The sequence below is a fragment of the Homo sapiens genome, chromosome 10 (assembly GCF_000001405.40).
Source record: "Homo sapiens chromosome 10, GRCh38.p14 Primary Assembly".
NCBI classification, from domain to species: domain Eukaryota; kingdom Metazoa; phylum Chordata; class Mammalia; order Primates; family Hominidae; genus Homo; species Homo sapiens.
Genome location: NC_000010.11, coordinates 71,392,705 through 71,416,069, shown reverse-complemented (window position 1 = coordinate 71,416,069; position 23,365 = coordinate 71,392,705). Strand labels below are relative to the sequence as shown.

General features: G+C 47.5%; 1 protein-coding gene across 5 annotated transcripts in view, besides 2 other annotated features; it reads right to left on the bottom strand.

Annotated features, from left to right (window-relative positions):
- CDH23 (cadherin related 23) overlaps nt 1-19,150 on the bottom strand; it is a 419,028-nt gene extending 399,878 nt beyond the window's left edge. For all 5 annotated transcript variants that reach the window (NM_022124.6, NM_001171930.2, NM_001171931.2 and 2 more), the window contains exon 1: nt 18,752-19,150. The gene's annotated coding sequence lies outside the window, so the exon portion shown is untranslated. The remainder of the gene's footprint in view (nt 1-18,751) is intronic.
- Nucleotides 18,347-18,858: an enhancer, noted in NCBI's record as "H3K4me1 hESC enhancer chr10:73156969-73157480 (GRCh37/hg19 assembly coordinates)". NCBI's record gives its function as "activates a minimal SCP1, AML or CMV promoter by ChIP-STARR-seq in naive H9 embryonic stem cells {active_cell/tissue: H9 hESC(naive)}" and the evidence as "EXISTENCE:reporter gene assay evidence [ECO:0000049][PMID:30033119]".
- Nucleotides 19,542-19,631: a silencer, noted in NCBI's record as "silent region_2464". NCBI's record gives its function as "represses an Ori minimal core promoter by ATAC-STARR-seq in GM12878 lymphoblastoid cells {active_cell/tissue: GM12878}" and the evidence as "EXISTENCE:reporter gene assay evidence [ECO:0000049][PMID:35858748]".

Sequence of the window (23,365 nt, the reverse complement as noted above, 5' to 3'; positions counted from 1 at the left end):
ACCATAGAAAAGGTGAAAAACAAATCAGTAAGGACACCAATATCTGAATGATAAGATGTACATATTTAACCTCATTGATAAAATTGAACACAGTATACAATAACAGAATAAACACTATTCTTGTGGGACAATGAAAAATATTTATAAAAATTCCCCATGCTGGGCCATAAAGTAACTCTCAAAACATGTCAAAGAACTGGAATCAGTAAAAGTATATTCTTTGATCATAACAGAATTAAGCTTAAAAACAACTGTAAAAAGTATGAAATCCCCAAATGCTTGGAAATAAAGCAATGAGGTTTAAAAACCCATAAATCAAAGAGGAAACTATAACAGAAATTAGAAAACACTTTGAACCTCACAACAATAAAAATATGACATCAAAATTTGTGACATACTAATAGCTGTGCTTAAAAGAAAATTTACAGCCTTAAGTTCAGATTTTAGAAAAGAAGAAAATCTATAAAACAATGAGCTATGTATGTATCTCAAAAAGTATTTTAAGAAGTAAATTAAAACTGAAGAAAAGAAATACAAATTCTGATGAAAAATTAATGACATAGAACACAAAATTTAATACACAAAAATCAGTAAAACTGAAAAATTGTTTTTTTGAAAAGATCAATACAATTGATTAATCCAGTGATCAATAAGATGACAAAGAAAATGAGACGGATGGCTGGGCACAGTGGCTCACGCCTGTAATAGCAGTTTAGGAGGTAGAGGAAGGAGGATCATTTGAGCCCAGGATTTGAAGAATAGCCTAAGCAACACAGCGAGACCTCATCTCTACAAGTAATTTAAAAATTAGCCAGGTGTGATAGTGCATTCCTGAGAAGGCTAAGACAGGAGGATTGCTTGAGCCCAGGAGGTAGAGGTTGTAGTGAGCTGTGATTATGCCACTGCACTCCAGCCTGGGCACTAGAGTGAGACCCTATCTAAAAAATAATAACAATAATAATAAAGAAATAAAAATGAAAGAGAAGATACAAGTTACCAATTTCATCCATGAAAAGATATCACTGTAGATTCTATAGAGAGTATAAAAATGCATGAGGACAATTAAGGAGATTTTACAAATAACTTTATGTCAATTCTTTTGGAATTACGCATAAAATGGATAAAATTCTAAAAAATGCAATGTACTAACACTGACACACAAAAACATAAGAATATAAATGGTCCTATATTTATTACAGAAATTGAAACTGTACTTTATAACTTTCCTACTAAGAAATCTAACCTCACATGGCTTCTCCATCGAATTGTTCTAAACTTTTAAGGATAAAAATAACACAAATCTTATCCACACTCCTCCAGAAAACAAACAGAAAAAGAAGGAACAGTTCCCAATTTGTATTATGAGGTCAGCAGAACTCGATACTATAATCTGACAATGATTTTACAAGAAAGAAAAAAATCACATGAACACAGATGAAAAAAATCTTAAGCAGAACATTAGCAATTCATTTATGCCAAAATACAGTCAAACAAAAGCTGTTGTAGCTATTGCAATAACAGATAAGGGGTTATGAGAAGAATAACACATCATGACAAAGTTGGATTTATTCCAAGAATGCAAGGTTGGTTAACTTTTGAAAATCAACCAGTGTAATTTACCACATTAGCAGAAGAAAGAAGGAAAATTATATGATCATTTCAATAGACACAAACATACATTTGATAAAATTCTATGCACATTTATGAAAAAACTCTTAACAAAAAGGAACAAAAGTGGCCATAAATGGAAAAGCCCACAGCTAGTATCATACACAATGGCAAAAGACTGAATGCTTTTCTCCTAAGATCAGGAACAAAACAAGGATGCCTTCTATTGCCATTTCCATTTAACATAGTATTGGACGTTGTAGCCAGAGCAATTAGACAAGAAAGAGAAAGAAAAGGTGTGCAAATTGGAAAGGAAGAAGTAAAATTATTTCTCTTTGCAGAAGACATGATCATACATGCAAAAAACTCTAACAATTACACACACACACACACACACACACACACACACACACAAAACCCAGGAGCTAATAAATTCAGCAAAATTGCAGTACAAAAAATCAACACACAAAAATCAGTTGTATTTCTAAATACCAATAATGAACAATCAGAAAAGGAAATAAGGAAAACAGTTCCATTTACAATAGCATCAAAAAGAAGACAATATTTAGAAATAAATTTAACCCAGGAAGCAAACAACTTGTACATTGAAAACTAACAAATATTGCTAAGCTAGGCATGGTGTCACATGCCTGTAGTCTCAGCTGCTTGGGAAGCTGAAGCAAGAGGATCAACTTGAGCCCAGGAGTTTGCCTCTAGCTTGAGCAACATAGTGAGACCTCATCTCTAAAAAAAACAATTTTAAGGAAAAGAAAGTAAAGAAGACATAAATAAATGAAAAGACATCCCATGTTCATAAACTGGAAAACTTAGTATTGTTAAGATACCATATTTAATATTGTTAAGATAGTACTATTGTTCAGATACACTACTGCCCAAAGCAATCTACAGACTTAATGTAATTCTTATCAAAAGCTCAATGGTGTTTTTCACAGAAATAGAAAAACCCATTCTAAGATTTTATGTGGAATCTCAAAGTACCCCCAAATAGTCAAAACGATCTTGAAAAAACAAAAGAACAAAGTTGGAGTACTCACACTTTCTATTTCAAAACTTACTACACAGCTACAGTGATCAAAAAGGTGGAACTTACATAAAGACAGACTTACAGACAAATGGAACAGAACCGAGAGCCTAGAAATAAACTGTCACATAAACAAACAATTGATTTTTAACAAGGGTGCTAAGATCATTCAATGGGGAAAGGACAGTTTTTTCAACAAATGATGCTGAGAAAACTGTCTATCCACATGCAAAATAATCAAGTTGGACTCTAATCTTATACCATATACAAAAATTAACTCAAAACAGATAAAAGACCTAAACATAAGAACCACAACTATAAACTTCTTAGATGAAAACACAGGGGAAACCACGATATTGGATTTAGCAATGATTTATTGGATATGACACCAAAAGCACAGGCAACAACAACAGCAAAAAGGTATTTGTACTTCATCAAAATTAAAATTTTTTCTGCATCAAAGCACACTATCTATGGAGCAAAAAAGCCACCCAGAGGACGGTGAACATATCTGTAAATCACACATCTGATAAAGGATTAATATCCAAAATATATAAAGATCACCTACAAGTCAACAGCAACAAGACAAACAACCCAATTCAAAAATATTTTGCCATAAAAGATATACAAATAAGCCCATGAAAAGATGCTCAACATCACTAGCCATTAGGGAAATGCAAATCAAAACCACAGTGAGATACCACTTCACACCCATTAGGATGACTATTATCAAAAAACAAAAAATTAGCTGGGTGCAGTGGTACACTCCTGTAGGCCCAGCTACTTGGGAAGCTGAGGCGTGAAGATCACTTGAGCTCAGGAGTTCTAAACTGTAGTGCACAACTGTGTAGTGTAGTTTAGAACTGTGCACTACAGTTTAGTGTAGCCACTGCACTCCAGCCTGGTCAACACAGCAAGACAACCATCTCTGAAAAATAAAATAAAATAATAAGTGTTGGTAAGGAAATGGAGAAATTGTCAGCCTTGTACATTGCTAGTGGGAATATAAAATGGTGCAGCTACAATGGAAAACAGTACGGCAGTTCCTCAAAAAATTAAACATAAAATTACCATATTATCCAGGAACTCCACACCTAGGTATACACTCAAAAGAATTGATAGCAGAGACTCAAACAGGTATTTATAGACCAACATTCATAGCATCATTATTGATAAGAACCAGAAGGTGGCAACAATCCAAATGTCCATTAACAGATGAATGGATATAAAATATGGTATATTCATACATGGAATATTATTCAGCTTTTAAAAGGCCTTAAATTCATACACCTACTAGAACATGGATGAATCTTGAAAACATTATGCTAAGTGAAATAAGCCAGACATAAAAGGATGAATATTGTATGATTCCACTCATACCAGATACCCAGAATAGGCAAATTCATAGAGAAATAAATTAGGATCAAGGTTACATGGGCAGATGGGAGAAGGAATGGGGAGTTACTGTTTAATGGGTACAGTATTTCCATTTCAGATGATGCAGAAGTTTTAGAAATGCATAGTGGTGATAGTTGCACAACACTGTGAATATACTAATGCCACTGAACTGCACACTGAAAAAGGGTTTAAAAGGTAAATTTTATGTTATGTACATTTTACTATAATTTTGAAAAAATTAGAAGAAAACTTTCCTAATTTGAAAAATGACAGCTATTAAAAGAAACCTACAGCAAACATCACACTTAATGATAAAATATTGAAAGCTTTCTCCTTGATACCAGAATTGAAGTAAGTATGCTTATTATTACCACTTCCATTCAATATTATGCTAGAACTCCTTGCCATTGCAATAAAGCAAGAAAAATGATATAAGTATTGTAAAAGAAGATATAAAACTGTTATTATTTATAGAAAACATAATCATATATGTTTTTAAAAATCAAAAAATGCAATAACCTATAAGAATAAATAAGTAAATTTAACAATGGTTGTGTAATCAATGAAAAAATCAGTTATACTTCTATATGACAAGTTAATAATACAAAATGAAAAAATTTCGAATTACTTACAATAGTATCGAAAAACATAAAACACATAGAAGGAAATCCAGTTTTAAAAATATAAGAATGCTACACTAAAAAGCATTATTGAATATAATGTATTAAAACTTAGAAAAATAGAGGAGTATATCTTGTTCATGGATTGAAAAACTCAATATTGTAAAGATGTCAATTTTCCTCAAATTGACTTACATATTTTTGATGCAGTCTCAATCAAAATCTCAGCAGGGCTTTTATGGAATTTCAGAAGCCAATTCTAAAATGTATATGTAAATGCAGAAAGCCAAAATTAAACAAGAGTCTTGAAGAAGAACAAAACTGAAGAATTTACACTGGCAATATCAAGACTACATCTGTAAAGCTATAGTAATTAAGCTCTAAAGCTTGTGTTGGTAAAAGGATAGTCAAATACTTATAGAATTGCATATACCTATATGTACACCAAAGGACACACATACAAATGTTCTTAACAGCCTCTTTTGTAATAGCCAAGAATAAAAGCAACCCGCCAGTCCAACAACAGTAGAATGGATGAATTGTGGTATATTCACAACATGGAATACTACACAGCAATGAAGAGAAACACATTAACTATACGCAACAGGATGACTCCCACAAACAAGTTAAGCAGAAGGAAACATCACAAAGAGAACCCACTGCATTATTCAACTTATATAAAGTTCAAAATAGGCAAAATGAATCTACTGTATTAGAAGTCAGGATAGGAGTTAACTTCAGAGGATGACGGGTAATGGCTCTGGTAATCACTTTTTTCTTAGTCTGGGTGGCAGTTACATGAGCATGGCCCTTTTGCAACAACTCAGGATAAACACATTTGCACACTTTTCTGCATGTATTATACTTCATTTAAAAAGTTGCCTTAAGAAGTCTCTTAGCACCAACATCAGTGCTACTAACAGCTGTCCTGCTTTGCCTCTCTTCCTGCCCTCCTGCCATGGGAAGCACAGTGCTGGTGGGCATAGAGCAAAGCTGCAGCCTCAGGGCAAGGGACCTCCCAGTCCTGGAAATCTTCCAGGACTGCACCCCCTCAACCTACAGCCTTTCTCATAGGTATGATAGTTACTCTTGGCACCCCCAGGCAGCCTGCAAGACTGTGAGCTCCCAGAATGCAGAAGCTGAGAATAACAGTAGCATAATAATAAACAATAGCAACATTTGTTGAACATTTACTATGTGCCAAGCACTTTTTCTAAGCATTTTATGTGCAATAACTCATTTAATCCTCCCAATAACCCTTTGAATTGGGTACTATTATTCTCATTTTGCGGAAGAGAAAACAAGACACAGATGAGTAATGATTAATTAAATTGCCAGAAGCCCACACAGTTCATAAGTGAAAGAGCTAGGATTTGAACCTGGGTGGTCTGGCTCCAGAGCCAGAAACACTTCCTCTCATTTAGGGTTTGGGCCCAGAGGTAAGGCCTGCTGCTCAGAGCCCTGGCCACACCCACCCAGACCAGGCACAAAGGGAGAGATGCTTCCCATTTCTTACAGGCAGGCCAGTGTGTCTGTGGACAGCGATGAGGTGTGTACCCTCCTGAAAGCCTGGTTCTAAGACTTCAGGGCAGCAGGCAGGCCCCAGCCCATGGGACTGGGCTCTTAAGCCTGGGGAAGCAGGTTGAGGCTGCAGCATGGGTCTGGGGAGAGAAGTCCCTTTCTAGTCCTAGGGAAGAGGGTCTTGGAGCTCCTCAGGGGTCAGGCCCCTGCTGACAGCACTCAGAACAAAGGAGGAAGTAGACACCAAGGGCACCTTTTCCTGTCCCAAGCACTGCCCGGGTGCCCTCTGCTTTCCACTCCCAAATCATTTCATCCATCCCACCCCCAGGCCAGCAGTCAGGAAACAGCCACGTGGAAGGTAAAGCCAGTCTACTCTGGGAATGAATTCTAGCGCCTCCCCATCCTCCGTCCCTTACCCAACATACCACATAACAAGTTTTTCCTTGGGTTTGCCTTTAACCCCTCCCGGTACAGTTTCCTCTCAGTTCCCTTTGCTCTTAAACAATGAGTTTAAGCTCATTGCCCTTGGAAGAGGCCCTCACCTATGCTCAGAGACTTTCTTTGTCTACCTGAGAGGTACTGGGGTTCACCAGCCCCTTTGTGTCAGGTCTGGATGAGTTTAGCCAGAGCTTCATGACGGACCCCACACATTAGAAGGGAACACCAGGGAATCCCCTGCCCCTTACATCAAACAGGGCCCCTTGGTCAGAGGCCAAAGCCTCAGGAGACAAAAAGTCCTGCCCAGGAGCCTTCTTAGTCTACAGCAGCCAGATACTTAAAAGTGACATCACACGTCTGTTCCAGAGACTAGGGGCAGGCCTGATATCCAGTTCAGCAAACAAACCTTGTGATCAGGCCAAGGGGCAGGGTGCAAGAGAAAGCCCACCCTTACATCAGCCAATGCATGCACATGCACACACACACACGTGCACACATGGCCAAGGCCGTCTGCATCAACACTAGAAAGGAGAGGCAGCAAGTTAGTACCACGGACTTCTGAGCCAGGCAGTTGAAAGGAAAGTAGGAAGGAAAAACAGATAAACTATGTCTACACCTGGCCTTTCCCATTCCCCTCTGCCCTTGCCCCTGACACCCAGGCCCTCCACAGCGGCTCCCAAGGAAGCTGTGAAACACACAGGTGCAACGAGGTCACCTAGTTAACAGCCTCTCTCCCGCTGTATTATTCATGGGCTCCCTTCTTCCGGCCTGAGCTCCAGTTTCCAACAGCCCTCAGGCAGGCAGCAGACACAGCTTGGCAGATCAGCTGCCTGGCAGGTCCTAGCCCATGGCCACCCCCACTCTCTACACCCCATGCCTGTCCCAGCCCCTCCTAGGATGTAGCCATCCCATGGTAACTCAGACCCAGCGGTCACCAGCACTTCAGGTGAGGGGGAGAATTTGGGGGCAGTGAGGAAGATCAGAGAAGGAAAACCTTGGCCTTGGTCAGGCACGAGATGCTGATATTTCCTAAGGAGATGCAATTCTCTCTCTTTCTCTCTCTCTCTCTCTCTTCTTCTAACACACACACATCCTGAATTGATTGCCCTGAATACAGCACTCTGAATAAGTGTGAGAGCTCATGGGGGACAAGGGCCATGCTTTGTCTACTTCTGTATCTCAGTGTGCCCTGCATAGTATCCTGCAAACAGTAGGTGCTTAATAAATATCAATTGACTTGTACAAATCCAAAAAAGATGGATGTCAAATTGTTAAGAGTGAGCATAAAGAGTTACATCAAGCCATTGCAAAGACATTGCTCCTGGGGTTTCGAGATCGTCATGTTATTTAAATGTCCAACTGTATATATCTCGTAAATCCCACATAATTCAAGTCATTAATACTTAGTAAAAATTAATTACAATGACACATACTATTTGCATAGCACGATTTTTAGGTTATCGCAACTCATTTTGCTGAGCACTTTTATGTCTCTCATGAGAGACCCCTACTCACTGAATCAAGTGATTGGTCAGAAGGGGATTTTTCCCCTATTTTACAGATGAGAAAACTGTGGCTCAGAGAATTAAAGCACTTGGGTCAATGAAAGGACTATCACTAAAGTCTTCACACACTTGCCAGGGGCATTTTTCTTCATTATTCACACCTATTTCACTGCCTCATGATTACCACCCATACAGCAACATGATAAAACTACAAGCTCTGATAAGGTTACTTGGGTCGAGACCCGGAAAGCCCAGGCTAAGGTCAGCTTAGGACTAAGATGCACGGCCAGAAATACCCAAGAGCTCCTGAGCCAGCCTGGCCAATGGCGGGGAAAGGTGTGGGGTTGGGGTTAAATTATAGACACCACTGCATGCAAACCCCTAGCTTTACAGATGGGAAGGGCTGGGGTCCAGGCAAGTGCAGAGACCCTGACATACATGGCCTTCCCAGATGGGGGTAACCTGCTCAGGGTAGAAAACCATCCACCTCATTCACTCCCATGGATGTTTAAATCCCAGCCAGCCTCACTCTCTCACATCCCCTGCCCAAATGCTGGAGGCGCCTGAACATTCAACCTCAGCCCAGGATCAATTATAGGGGAAGTCAGGACTGTAATAAACACACCTGGCAGGGCTGGATAGAAAGGGGGTGTCCCAGAACCCAGCCCCAGCTCTGTCATTGCCTCTCTGTGGATCCCAGGTGGGACTTTTGTCCTTTCTTGAGTTCAGTTTCCATCTGTATAGTGAAAGGTTTGGCTCTGGCCTTCTGTAAGTGCAGTACAAAGTAATGATCAAGGAATCAGACTGCCTTCATGCAAAAATCTGCCTCACCGCCTGCAAGCTATGTGACTTTGGGCAAATTGCGTAACCTCTCTGTGCCTCATATTTCTCACCTGTAACATAAGAGTAACAGCTGACCCTAATTCGTAGGGTTGTTGTAAGGACTAAGTGAGGTATTTTAGATGAAGTGCTAAGCTCAGGGCCTGGCACACAGTACTTAATAAATGTTTCTCATTACTACTGTCAGCTCTGACACTAAGTCTATGGTCATAAACTGGCCATCTATGGGCCACATGCAGCTTGCCAAAGGGTTTTCCCTACCATAGACACTTCACAAGGGTAGGGGCCACTGATGGGCCCCAAGGGCCTAGAACAGCACCTGACACACAGTAAGGGTTCAATGACTATTTCCTAAATGAATGAATGGCCTCGCTGTGTTTTCAAATATTAAATTCGTTGCTAACATCTCAAATAGAAAGATTTTTTTTTAATCTCGATGTTTAGATTCTTTTGAAAAATCAAAGTGTCCGGCAAGCCTAAAAGCTGTTCTGTACTGCTGCTTAGCAACATAGACCAAACAGTAGCAGGGGCCCCCATTAGCCGAGGTAAGTATGTGCAGTTTGCCACAGTGTCTTCCCAGTTGTCTGGACCCTGGAGCCACCTGAATGCCTCCTGGGGGAACCCTGACACCCTTGGCCCAGGGTATATCACAGGAGAAGTGCAGACAGCATGGAAAGTTTGCATTTACCTGGCCCCAGGGCTTCTGCCCCCAGAGATTGCCCCAGGTCTGCTAAGTGCCCATGATACTCTGGCATCCAAGCCCCCTCTGCTGTGGACAGGCCAGACCCTCTTCCCCAGAGGAAAGCCTCAAACACTCCACGTTGCTGCAACTTCCTTAGCTTTCTAGGCTGTGTCACTCCCTGCTTGGAAAACTCCCAAAAGCAAAAAGCAACAGAAAGATGAATTTAATACTTATCCTTCTCACAGAAAGAGCACAGAGATAGGGAGACACATCTTGGGAGGCTCAGGTGGGAAGATCACTTGAGCCCAGGAGGTCAAGGCTGCAATGAACTGTGATCTCACCACTGCACTCTAGCCTGGGCGACAGAGAAAGACCTTGCCTCAAAAAAAAAAAAAAATTACCTGCTTTTTTTAACTTTTTCCAAGTGGACACTAGAAAATTTAAAACTGCACATGTGGCTTGCATTATTTTTCTACTGGGCAGTGCAGCTGTGGACTCTCAGCTTGAAGTCCCACCAACTAGACGGAGGTTGGGACACAGGTGATGCTCAGTATTGGCTGAGGAATGGCCTCCCCAACAGTAGATGTGAGATCTTAAAGCACAGACAGGATGGGTTTGGAAGGATCCCCCACCCCACCACCCAGTTATGTTCTGGTTTTCTAGTGAAAGTCCATCCGTGGCTGGGCACGATGGCTCATGCCTATAATCCCAGCACTTTGGGAGGCCAAGGCAGGTGGATCACCTGAGGTCAGGAGTTCAAGACCAGCCTGGCCAACATGGTGAAATCCCATCTCTACTAAAAATACAAAAATTAGCCTGGCGTGATGGCATGCACCTGTAGTCCCAGCTACTTGGGAGGCTGAAGCAGGAGAATTGTTTGAATCTGGGAGGTGGCGGTTGCAGTGAGCCGAGATTGCACCACTGTACTCATTCCAGTCCGGGCGACAGGGAGAGACACTGTCTCAAAAAAAAAAAAAAAAAAAGATAGTCTACCCATGCCTCACCCTCTAAGACAAAGCCTTAGGCCCCCATAGAGTGTCTGAGAAAGGTCTAGCCCAGAGTTCCATTGCCACTGGTTCCCTGGAGATGACATCAGTGATCCTGGCTCCAGGAAAGAAGGGCAAGATCAGCCTCCTCCCGGGCCAGGGGCAGTTCGGAGCAGGAGAAGGAACATGGGGTGCTGGAGGAGAATAAAGTCCCTTATAAGCCAGGGCAGGATGGCTAATCTCCTGTCTGTGTAGGCAAAGAACAGAAGAAAAGTGGGCAGAGCTAAAGGGCATCCCTCAGAGGGACTCAGCCCACACTAACCCGAAGCCAGGGAAAGCCAGCATTCCTCGGGGACAGAATTAGTGATACAAATGGAAACCCAGACAGAGTCGCGGCTGCCCTTTTTGTTTTCCCTTTCTGCCCTCCCACTCTCTCTTGCTCTCTCCTCTACTTCCCTCCCTCCCTTGCTTTCGCTGGCTCCCAAATTACAGCCTTCTTTCAGAAACAGACACAATCAAGGTGGTGTGCATGGCCCTTGTCACAAATGGCATCTCAGGTCCTCTCCAAATGGAGCATGGCCTTTAAAGAGGAAGGTGATATCGCTAACCGCCTGCCTCAAGGAAGATGCATCTCCAGGAAGACACAGGCTAGAAAAAAACTCCCACCCTCTTCGGCTGATTGGCCTGTGGCAGGCTCTGGGTGGCTGATTGCAGGGCCAGGCCCGGGGCTGCTGGGGTCTGAAAGACAAGGCATGCCCGCCCTCCTCAACACTCCTTGTGCTGGAGCGGGAAGAGCAGGGCTCTGCCCTTGACTGGCCAGCATTCAGGCTCAGCTTCATCTGGGTTCCTTGAACAAGCTTACTCTCTGACTCCAAGTCTCAGTTTCACCACTTGTAAAATGGTAAGACTAGCTGGTCTCTGAGAACACTTCCAGACCTTGAGTACAGGTCACAAACTCAAATGGCTAAAGGAGCAAGGGGGTATCGGAAATGAATAAAGTGGGGTCCAAAGTGAGGCAATAGGGAATGGTCGGGACTGTGGAGAACTGCAAGCTGCAGGCTCACGTAAATTTAAAAGGCAGCTGCAGGCAAAACTCACAGGGGCGACATAAATCAGAGTGAAGTCAGAAGAGTAGTTACTTCTGGAGTGGGATAACATGGGGTGGGAGGGGGCATAAGAGAGCCTGCCAAGGCACTGGAGATGTTCTGTATCTCCATGGCAGTGAGGCGGTTACACAGGTGTATATATATGCGAAAATTCACCACTTCCACTTAAGATCTGTTGACATTATTTTATGTATGTATTCTTCCGTGAATTTATTTATTTATTTATTTTTTTGAGACAGGGTCTTGCTCTGCCGCCCAGGCTGGAGTGCAGTGGCACGATCTCGGCTCATGGCAACCTCTGCCTCCCGGGTTGAAGAGATTCTCCTGCCTCAGTTTTCCGAAAAACTGGGACTGCAGGCATGTGCCACCATGCCCAGCTAAATGTTTTACGTTTTTAGTAGAGACGGGGTTTCACCATGTTGGTCAGGCTGGTCTCTAGCTCCTGACCTCAAATGATCCACCCACCTCGGCCTCCCAAAGTACTGGGATTACAGGCATGAGCCACTGTGCCTGGCCCATTAAATAATTTTTAAAAGAAAACAGCACTTTGGGAGGCCGAGGTGGGCAGATTACGAGGTCAAGAGGTTGAGACCATCCCGGTAAACATGGTGAAACCCCGTTTCTACTAAAAATACAAAAATTAGCTGGGCGTGGTGGTGTGCACCTGTAGTCCCAGCTACTTGGGAGGCTGAGGCAGGAGAATCACTTGAATCCGGGAGGCGGAGGTTGCAGTAAGCTGAGATTGCGCCACTGCACTCCAGGTTGGCGAAAGAGAGAGACTCCATCAAAAAAAAAAAGAAAGAAAGAAGGAAAGAAAGGAAGGAAGGAAGGAAGGAAGGAAGGAAGGAAGGAAGGAAGGAAGGAAGGAAAGGAAGGAAGGAAGGAAGGAAGGAAGGAAGGAAGGAAGGAAGGAAGAGAAAGAAAGAAAGAAAGAAAGAAAGAAAGAAAGAAAGAAAGAAAGAAAGAAAGAAAGAAAGAAAGAAAGAAAGAAAGAAAGGAAGGAAGGAAGAAAGAGAAAGAGAAAGCAAGCAAATGAAAGGGGTACCGGCAACTCAGCTCCAACCAACAACTGTTCAACTGTTGATTGGGAACATGGACACAATGTTGCCAGTTCTAATCAGCAATGCCAGAAGTCTAGATGTTTATACAGACTGCTGGATTTGTTTTTTTTTGGTTGTTGTTTTTTGTTTTTTGGTTCTTTTGAGATGGAGTCTGGCTCTGTCGCCCAGGCTGGAGTGCAGTGGCGCGATCTCGGCTCACTGCAAGCTCCGCCTCCTGGGTTCACCCCATTCTCCTGCCTCAGCCTCCCGAGTAGCTGGGACTACAGGCACCCGCCACCACGCTCGGCTAATTTTTTTTTTCTGTATTTTTAGTAGAGACGTGGTTTCACCGTGTTAGCCAGGATGGTCTCGATCTGCTGACCTCGTGATCCACCCACCTCAGTCTCCCAAAGTGCTGGGATTACAGGCGTGAGCCACCACGCCTGGCCAGCTGGATTTTTAAATGTTATCAGTAAGTAATTACAAAAGAAAAACCACAACAACCCCCATCCAACGCGCATGTGCGCGCGCGCGCGTGCACACACACACACACACACACACACACACACACACACACTCAGGAAGAATTCAATTTATGAATGTATAGATTGTCAAGCTCTGAAAATAAGAAGAGTTTTCACCTCTTTACTAGAATACAATGTGCCTAACATATAAGTAAGTCAAAGGGATACAATAAAAGCTACTACATTTTGCATGTATACTGTGCGCCAGGTACTACACAATGCCTTGTAAAGTTGTCCTCTCATTAATGCTCATAGCAAGCCTATAGGGCAATTGAAAAATTATTCCCATTTTACAGATGAGAAAACTAAGCCAGACCCAAGGCTTCAGAGCTCTAGTGGAAGAACTGGTGCTCAATATCAAGTCTGTCGGCCTGCAAACTGCCTTATGAAAATCACGAAGTGAATGCATTATGATCATAATAATAACCAACACTTGCCTGGGGTTTTAGAATATGTAAAAAATATGAATGCTAAAACTGAACCTGCTGTGTCACTCTCAGCAACACAGCCTGCAGCCCCTGAGGCTGAGAAGGGCTGTCTGATATTCCCATTCCCCTCACCAATACATTGAGCTATGCCAACATTTATTATCGAGGTGACACAGGGCCCCAAGACCGCAAACCCTGAGGCCCCAAATATATGGAGCTGTGGGCGGCAGCAGCGGCCCACCCCACTCACCATTGACAGATCCTGATCAACTTTCACACTGAAAGACTAGAAAACTGTCTCCATGTGGCTACGTTTTAAATATGCCAGTTTTCTGGCTGACACCTTTCTCGTCAATGAGGTTGGTAAGAATATGCATTTTCTGCCCTATGGGATTCAATAAAGCCATTTTCATGTTGAATCCAAATAAACATGGCCTATAAATGTTCTAATGTTTTCCGAATTGGCTCTTTTGCAAAAATGATCATTCACCACTGTTGCAGACATTCAGATCAAGCATTAGAAATGTGCAGCACGCCAGCAGCACCCCTGTGCCCCAGTCATTATGCCCCCGGGAATAACCATTATTCTGACTTCCATCACGTAGATGGGTTTTGCCCCTTCTCTATGGGGCCTATGCTTTTCAGTTCTCCCCAGTCCCCACCACTCCCTATTGTGTTACATGCTTTACTCTTTTGTCTGCATCCTCACCTCTCTAGGCATGCAAATGTCCGAGAGCAGATGCCTAGAGTCCAGAGTACAGCAAGGTGGACATTCACCACCCATCTGGAAAGTACCACCATGAAGAGTTAAAACTGGATATAGGCACAGCAAACGGTTGGTGTGTTAATGATCACTTAAGAATAGGGCTGGAGAAGGTAAGAGAACCATCACCCAGGGATAAGCCATTGGGTCAATGAACAGTTACTGAGCACCAACTACTCCACTAGTGTGGAGGAAAAAGATGCAGCCTGTGCCCTGGAGGAGCTCAGTGGCTACTGAGAGGCCAGAGCCATGCAGAATGGTAAGAAGCACCAAGGAAGGACCGTGAGCGAGGGAGGCACAGGCTGGAGGGGCAGCCCACCCGCACCAGCCACCCCACCCGAGGACTCAGGAGGGCTTCCTGGAGTTGACGACTCCTGAGCAGCGTCAGTGTCACCCACATTATGCACAGGAGGCTGGAATACAGAAGAACCCAATCTGATCTGCACTTCTCTACTGAGGGCAAAAGTACTCCCACCCTGAAATAACCTATCCAGTAGGGTTCGACTTGTAAATGACCTTGCTCATCTATTCATGGACAAACAGGATTGCCCCAGCGCCAAGAGGAACCCAAAGCAAGGCTCAAAATAAAATAAAATACAATGTTTAAAAAACAACTAAAACTGAATTTGAAAACAATGAGTTCAATGGGAAATTAGGTCAATTTTTACAATCATCTTTACACATTAAGACCTGGGGGTTCAAGAAAACAGTGAGACTTATTAACCTAGTTATTTTTAAATTTCTATTATTTTTATTGATTGATTGATTTTGAGATGGAGTCTCACTCTGTCGCCCAGGCTGGAATGCAGTGGCATGATCTCGGCTCACTGCAACCTCCATGGTCCAGGTTCAAGCGATTCTCCTTCCTCAGCCTCTCACGTAGCTGGGATTACAGGTGCCCACCACCACGTCTGGGTAATTTTTGTATTTTTAGTAGAGCCAGGTTTCACCATGCTGGCCAAGCTGGTCTCAAACTCCTGGCCTCAAGTGATCCACCTGCCTTGGCCTCCGAAAGTGCTAGGATTATAGGTGTGAGCCACTGCACCCAGCCTAACCTAACTATTTTTGAACTCACTGATTTTCAAATCGATGTCTGAATGTCTTCACATTAGCTCGCTCTTTGTAAGGCCCATGACTGTGTCTCCCATAGTTCCTCCTCATCACCTTGTCCCCTGGCAGAGCTGCCCTCTCTCTGGGAAAGAGGCTAGCTTAGGGGAAGGACTGCCTCTTTGGGCAGGGTGGGATGCCTGAGCCATGCGATGACCTTTCACCTGTGACACCATCGGCTACACCAGGCCTCTGATCCAAATCTCTCCAGCAGTGTTTCAAATCTCCTACTCTCAGGCCAGCCTTGATGCCTTCAGGGTCATCATCCAGAGGACCAGGGGTATAACTTGCCACCATGCCTCGGCATCATCCCTGTATCTTGAAGCTAGAGGCCTCGAACCACCTTAGGGCAGTAGAAGTGGGATGTCCAGTCCAGGCTGGGGTCAGGGGAGAGCTTGGTCAGTATCTTCCCCTCTGGAGGCTGTTCCAAATTGGCTCTCATGCTCCTCCCCTCTGCATAAGTCCTAAGGCCGCTGAGAGGTGTTATTAATTGGCTGATCCACCCATCTGGGAGGGGCAGATGAGGTGGAGAGTAGTTGCTCAATTCCTTCTGCTTGAGGGACAGCATCTAGTCTCCGTCTCAGGCGTCCTAGAGGCAGAGTGTGTACACCCAGCTTCCGGAAACCCTGCCCCCTCCACTCACCTCTTTCTGGCCCATGTGCAGGGGTTTTTGTTGGTTTTCTTTAGAGACAGGGTCTCATTATATTGCCCAGCCTGGAGTACAGTGGCTATTCACAAGCACGGTCCTAGCACACTACAGCCTTGAACTCCTGGGCTCTAGCAATCCTGTTGCCTCAGCCTCCCCATTAGCTGGGACTATAGGAGTTCACCACTGCACCCAGTTCCATGTACAGTTTTGACTGCACACAAAGCTGAGATGTTATTCTAATCTATTTAAAAAACCCTAAAACACAAACACTCTTGTGGCATTAGCATGGTACAACCCGAAGGGGCCAGTGGTGGACTATTAATCCGAGCCTAGCAAAACTGGCCAAAGAGAGAAGCTCCAATCTCATTCTCATCTCTGTGTTCTTATCCACTGCCCTATACAACACTCTGCACCAAGGAACTATGCAATGCCTCTTAGAGAAGGCACTGTGGACCACAGCTCAAACTTTACTGAGCACATGAGTCACCCAAGGATCTTACCAAATGCAGATTCTGATTCAGAAGGTCTGGGGTGGGGCCCAAGAGTCTGCATTTCTAACAAGTCCCCAGGTGATGCCGACGCTGCATGTCCACAGGCCACACTCTGAGGAGCAAGGTTCCGCTACACCTTCACCTCCCAGAAGAATGTGCATTTTAAATGAGCACTTCAGGAAGGTGCCCTTTAAAATACTTGGCTCAAATAAATGAACCTCAAATGGTGAAACTGCAGGTAAGGTAGCTTGTTGAGTGGGGGAGCTATTCCAGAGGCAACCAGGACCATCTGCTATCACAACCCTCAAATCAAGCCCTTTGGTAAGCAGACGTGAGGAGCCCAGCTGTTTAGAGGTGAGGAAGGCCAAGTCTGAGAAGTATATGCGGACCCAGCACAGACGGGGCCAGGATGCTAGCTCTGGGCCTCCCACCCCTCACTGCTGTCCTCCAGCACTCGAGGCAGAGCTTCCTGGTTCACACCAGTGGCTTCTGTGTGCCACCTTCCCAACTCACGGGGGACACCCACCCTCTACCACGAGACACTCTGCCTTCCTGCCCTCCCCAGCCCTGGCAGCCAGAACCAAGCCTTGCTATTCCCCCAGGCAAGGGGCCCCTTCCCAGCTCCTCCTTGGCAGAGTAACATCTAGTGCCCCCACCCCTGTAGGTGCTGACCGCAGTGCGCCTACCCCTGCACCACGAACCAAGCACTAACTCCAAGCCAGCTCTCCCCATCGTGGGCTGACTCATCATCACCATGCAACTGGCCCCAACTAGGTTCTTAAAGCCCGCCCCACCCCACACCCCACAACCTAATTCTTCCCTGTGTGAGGGTCTGACTCCACCCAACACACACACACACACACACACACACACACACACACACACACACACACTCCTGTGTCTCTCTAGCTTATTTCAAAATCCAAATTAGGGTTGGGGCACTTCCCAAGGGGCTGGAAGGCGAGGTCAATGTCAATGCCAGCTCTGGTCTGAGAGGGCAAAGGACGTAGAAAAAGAAGGCTCTGCTTTCTGAATTACTAGGGAGGATGGGGGAGTATTACTACCGAGGAAAGGCTAATTTCCTCCCAGTGGACCGCTGACAGCACTAGGGCTGGGGCTGGGGTCGCAGTGGGGCGGCGGCTGGCATCGGATCTCCGCTCACAGCACGGAGGCAGCCTCTCTAGGTGCCCGCTCCGAGAAAGCCAGGCAGAGTCCCCGCCGGCTGGCGCCGTCACTGCCTTGGAACACGCGGGCTCTGCTCGAGTCCTGGGCTGACCTACGGTGGAGATGAGGGGCAGTGCTCCCGGGTGCCAGCTCCTGGGGGCAGCCAGCACCGCTCGTAGCGGACCAGTTCCAGGGCCAGGAAGGCGAAGCGAGAGCCGCAAAAGGCTCCCGGCTCCTCGAGGGGCGCGTCTTCCCATAGCTGGACCGAATTTGGGAGGATGTGTAAGTCCCCTGGGGTCTCCCGCGGGCACAGGGACTTGATGAGGGGAGGGGAGAACTACGTGCCTTTAGTTCCCCTCAGCGCCTCTGCCCAGCCCGCAGTAGGGGTGCGCCCCACCCCATCCCCACTGTCCAAATGGGGACCCAGGGCTCAGAAGGGGAGGGGATTGGATCCCAACGCGCTCCACTCTCGAAAATCTCTCCACCCCAGACCTGGACCCTCTCCGTAGCGCCGAGAGCAAAGCCCCCAAATGTTCGCGGTCCCAGGACCGGGGATGGGGGATGGGATGCCTGTCCTCCCAAGGCCAACGCGAATGGAATTCGAGTTCCCAGGAATCAAAGTTGCCGCGCGTCGGGGAGCTCGGAGCGGGGCGCGAGGCTAGGGCCAGGGGCCTGGGACCGAAGGATGCCGCGAGCGCCCGCCACGGGCGATGGCCGCGCTGGGAACAAGTGGTTCGGCAGCCGCGGTCACCACCAACTTCCCCGCCGCGCGGCGGGCGAACGGCGAGGGGAAGGAGAGGGAAGCGAGGAGGGAAGAGGCGGTGCGTGGCTCCGGGTACCGTGTGCGTGTGTGCAGCGGCGCCGCGCCTCGCCTCGCCTCGGGCTCTGCTCTCCGCCGGATCGGCCCCCGCGGGCCGCCTGCTCTGGCCCTGGCCACCGCCGCGTCTTCCCGCCGGCGCGAAGGCTCATCCGCGGCGTGCCGGCAGCTCCTGGGTCTCCGCGGGCCGCTCGCCGCTCGCCGCTCGCCGCTCGCAACTTCAGGCGCGCCGGGGGCTCGGACTGGGCGCGCCCCAAACGTCCAGAGGCTCTGCCACCCCGCGCTCCATGCCCAGGCCGGGCTGACTAGCCCCGACCACCTCAGCGTCCGGCCGCCGTCGGACGCGTCCTCTAGCCAAGCATCGCGCCTGCAGCCCGCGTCCCTCTCTCCCGAGCCGCCGCCGCCGCTCAAGTCCGCGATCAACTTTCCCTTGCTTCCCCCGCCCCGCTCGGCCCCCGCCCCGCTCGGCCCCCGCCGTCCAGACCCCGCCTCCCGCAGCTCCCTCCCTCACCTCCCGCCTCGCCCGGCCCCCGCCCGCCCGCCCGCGCTCGGCGCTCCCCCACCCCTCAGGCCGCCAGGACCCCCGAGCTCCCGCCCGGCCCCGCCCGGACCCCCGGGAGCGGCGCCGAGCCCCGCCGGGCGCTCAGGGCATGAATATTTCAGTGCTGGCGAAGCTGCCCTCTGCCGATGTCATGGCACCGGCTGCTGTGGCAACTCTACGAATCCCCCAAAGGGGCAGGGAGGAAGCCCGCGGAAGAGGCCCCAGGTGCGAGACAGAGCAGTGCCCCGCCAGGCCGCCAGCCGTCCCGCAGAGGGGCGCGCAGGGGGATGGGGCCCCCAGCGTCTCGTCCGCCCCGCGCCTCAGGCAGAGCGAGGTAACGCTCCCGGGAAGCCCGGGCGGGCGAGCGGGCGCTCGGCCTAGGTGAGCCCGCGCCATCTGTTGGCTTTAAGCGCCCCCTCTCTGCTCCCAGAGTCGCTGAGCAGTCCCTCTAGTCCTTGGGGCCTCTTGGCCTACGCTTCTCTCCAACCAGCTGCCTTTGCCCACCCGACTCGTGCGCTCCCATCTGCGCCTCCTCCCTCACTAGAGCTCAAGAGGCCTCCAAGTGCTTAGAAATGGAGGACCCCGGGTTGGAGGAGACCCGTGAGGTCACTTAGGCGCCCTCACCCCTGCGGGAGCTCCGTCTGCAGTGCCCGAGTCATGGTCTCCCGGCTCCTTTTTGCACACCTATAGGGACAGAGACTTTATGGCTTTCTGAGACAGCTGGATCAAGAAAGGGTCCATATGCAGGTAATGGAAGAGGTTTATCCCCTACCTTTGATCTTTACTTCCCCGGGGCTAAGCATTCTGATTTTTTAAAACTATTTCTCACATGACAGGATTTCCGAGCTGTCACTGTTCCAGTCAGTACATTGACAGTACCTGCCTGGAGCCAGGCTCTGGGCTGAGACTTTCTGGGCCTCAACTCATTCTATCTTCAATAAAGTCTTTCTGGTGGGCCCTGCCATTATCCCAGTTTTACAGTGAGAAACAGGCTTTAGGAGGTTGGGGACTTGCCCCTGTGGTGGAGTCGGGTATTGAACCCAGAATCTATCTGGTTCCAAAGCTCCAGTTCCTTACCATTCGCTCATTCATTATTCATTCATTCATTCACAGTCACTGCTATGTGCTAGCTAACTGAAATAGTTTCTAGGAATAGGATGGAGAACAAAACAGGCTTGGTCTTTGTGCCCCATGAAGCTTCTCTAGTAGGGGAACCAGACATTCATCAATGAAACACATAAGCAGGTAAAATTACAGCCAGAATCAGTGCTAGGAAGAAGAGTGCTTTAATGGCGCCTGGCCGAGGGGATCAGGGAAGACCTCCTAGAGGAGGTGACTGAGCTGAAGGATGAGCAAGGGAGAGAGAGTGGAGTTTTAGGCAGGAGAAACAGCATGTGCAAAGGCCCCAGGTGCCCACTGCAGGCAACGGCTGGGCCAGGAACAATGGTTTGGTGACCGCAGTCGCAATCAACTTGTGCAAAGGTGGGAAGGAGCTGGCATATGTCAGGAAGTCCAGAAAGGGTGGGGAGAGCTCCGTGCCTCCAGCGTACGAGGAAACGCTCCTGGGAAGCTTGGGAGGGTGAGTGAGCCTGCACCATCTGTTGGCTTTAAGCACCCCCTCTCTGATCCGAGTCACTGAGTGGTCCCTCTAGTCCTTGGCAGTGACTGTAAAGCCACAATGGAGTGGGGGCCAGACTGTGCAGGTGTGTTGGCCTTAATCAGGAGTTGATCTTTATCCTAAGACTGAAAGCTTCAGAGGCCGGGCTTGGTGGCTGACACCTATAATGGCAGCATTTTGGGAGGCTGAGGCAGTAGGATCACTAAGACTCTATCTAAAAAAAAATAAGAGAGAGAGAGAATTGATTGGGAGGCAACAGTTGATGAGAAGAGACTGCTTCAATTAAAAGTATTTATTTGTCAAATACTATGTGCCAAGAAATTTTCTAGACCAGGGGTGAGCACACCGCTACCCAGAGGTCAAATCTGCCTCATCACATGTTTTTGTAAAGAAAGTTTTAGTGGCACACAGACATGGCCTGTTTGGTTGTGTCTCCTTTCACACTACAACTACAGACATAAGGAATTTCAAGAGGGACCGCATGGCCTGCAAAAACAAGAAATATTTACAGCCTGGCCCTTTACAGAAAACGTTAGTTAACCCCTGTGAATTTAGACACTTTGGATATGTCAATGAACAACACACACAAGCACACACACACAGGCACACACACATGCACACAGACACGCATGCTTGCGCCAAACAAATCCTTGCCCTGGTGAAGCTTACATGTCCTCAGGCTGCTGCAGTGTCTAGGTGATTGGTGACAGAGGCCTGGAATGAGGGGGTGGGTAGAAGTGGAGAGAAGTGACTTTCAGGAGGTAAAAATCTACAGGGCCAGGAGGACAGGGAGTGGTTATACGTGAGATAGAGCAAAGGGTCAAGGAGACTTCTGGGTTTCTGGCTTGTGGTGGTAGATGGACAGTGTGCTGTTTCCTGTGATGGGGCCCTCTGAGGAGGCCACTATGGAGACCTGAGCAAGAGCTCCCTTGGGACATGTTGTGTGAGAGGCCTGTGCAGTCACAGAACAGAGATGCCAAGTAGGCTCTTGGACAAATGAACTGGAGTCGTGGTCCTACATGTCTTAGGTGGTCATGCTTTTACACAGTGTGATGGAGCCAGGAGTCCGGAGAGCGGGATCTGAGTTCTAGGTCACCCTCTAGCTGGATGGTAGCGGGCTGGACACTGGACCTCTCTTGGCCTTGTGTTCCCCATTCGTAAAATGAAAGCATGAGAAGAGGTGTTCTTCAAGGTTCTCCACCCCTCAAACCTTCTGTTACACACTGTGCCAAGCACCGTGCTGGGAACTGGGGTGTCAGTTGGGATGCAGCCAGCCCACAGAACCACCGTGAGTGTGTAACAGACAGGGAATGGAAGGGCTGAGAATTCTAACTGGATGGCGAGGCGACCCAGAGTGCAGCAACAGCAGAAAGTGTGCCACCCCTAGACTGGAGGGATAAGGGAGGAAGCAGAGTGACCAGGATCAGGGCACACGGTGGAAGGTGAGACCACAGTGGGCCTGTGTGGTGTGGGCTCGAGTCACAGAAACACAGCTACTGCCAGAGACGGTGGAGTGTGAAGACACATCCCGGCTTCTTTCCCCAGCCCTCTCGTCTCCCACCTGAAGACAGTGGACCTGGGAGTTTGCGGGGTCAGCCTGCTGTGATGCAGAGCAGCACCACAGAGGGGAGGAGAGAATGGCCCTGAGGGGAACAGGCCAGCACCGCACACCGGGGACACAGATGTGAGTGACATCCATCCTGTCTTCAAGGCACTCCCAGTGGGAGAGAGGGGCAGATGAATCAGTTACAACCTAGAAAGGTAAGTGTGGCAAAGTGGACAAATGGCCCAAAGGAGAGTGGGGTGATTCATTGTCATGAAATCTTGAGTCCAGAAAGGCTGCCTGGACAAGGGGACATCAGAGCTGGCTGCAGTGAGCCGAGATTGACCAGGAGGTCACAGGCAGCAGAAGCAGAAGGGCGCTCCAGGTGGAGGAGCAGCATGTGCGGAAGCCTGGAGGCATGCACAGGGACTCTCCCCAGGCAGCCATGGGAGCTACTGGATCCCGGAGGTGAACAGCAGTCTTGCTCTTCTGCACATGAACCAGCCAAAGGCAGGAGATGGCGTTTGCAGGAGGCTCAGAGCTGGGGGGAAGAACCCAGCCTCTATTCTCTGAACCAGCATCTCAGAAATTCTAATCTCTTCATTCCAGGAGATGAATCACCTAAGTTTTCACCTTTCTGTCTTTCTGGGATTTCCATTCCTGAAACCGTATCAGGGCTGTTTCAACAACAGCTCTCGAAGTTCTCCCTAGAGCCCTTCCCTCAGGAAACATTTGCCTCCTCTCCAAGCCCCTGGGGCATCAAGGAAAGTACACCAGTGTGATAAAGAAGCACCCCTTGCCACCTTATGTGGTCCTGGACAAGTCGCTGAACCACTCTGTGCCTTGTTTCCATTTCTGAAAATGAGAGAATGGTGCCTGCCCAGCCTCCCTCCTGGGGTGGATATGAAAGCGCTTGGACAGCCACGAAGAGCCA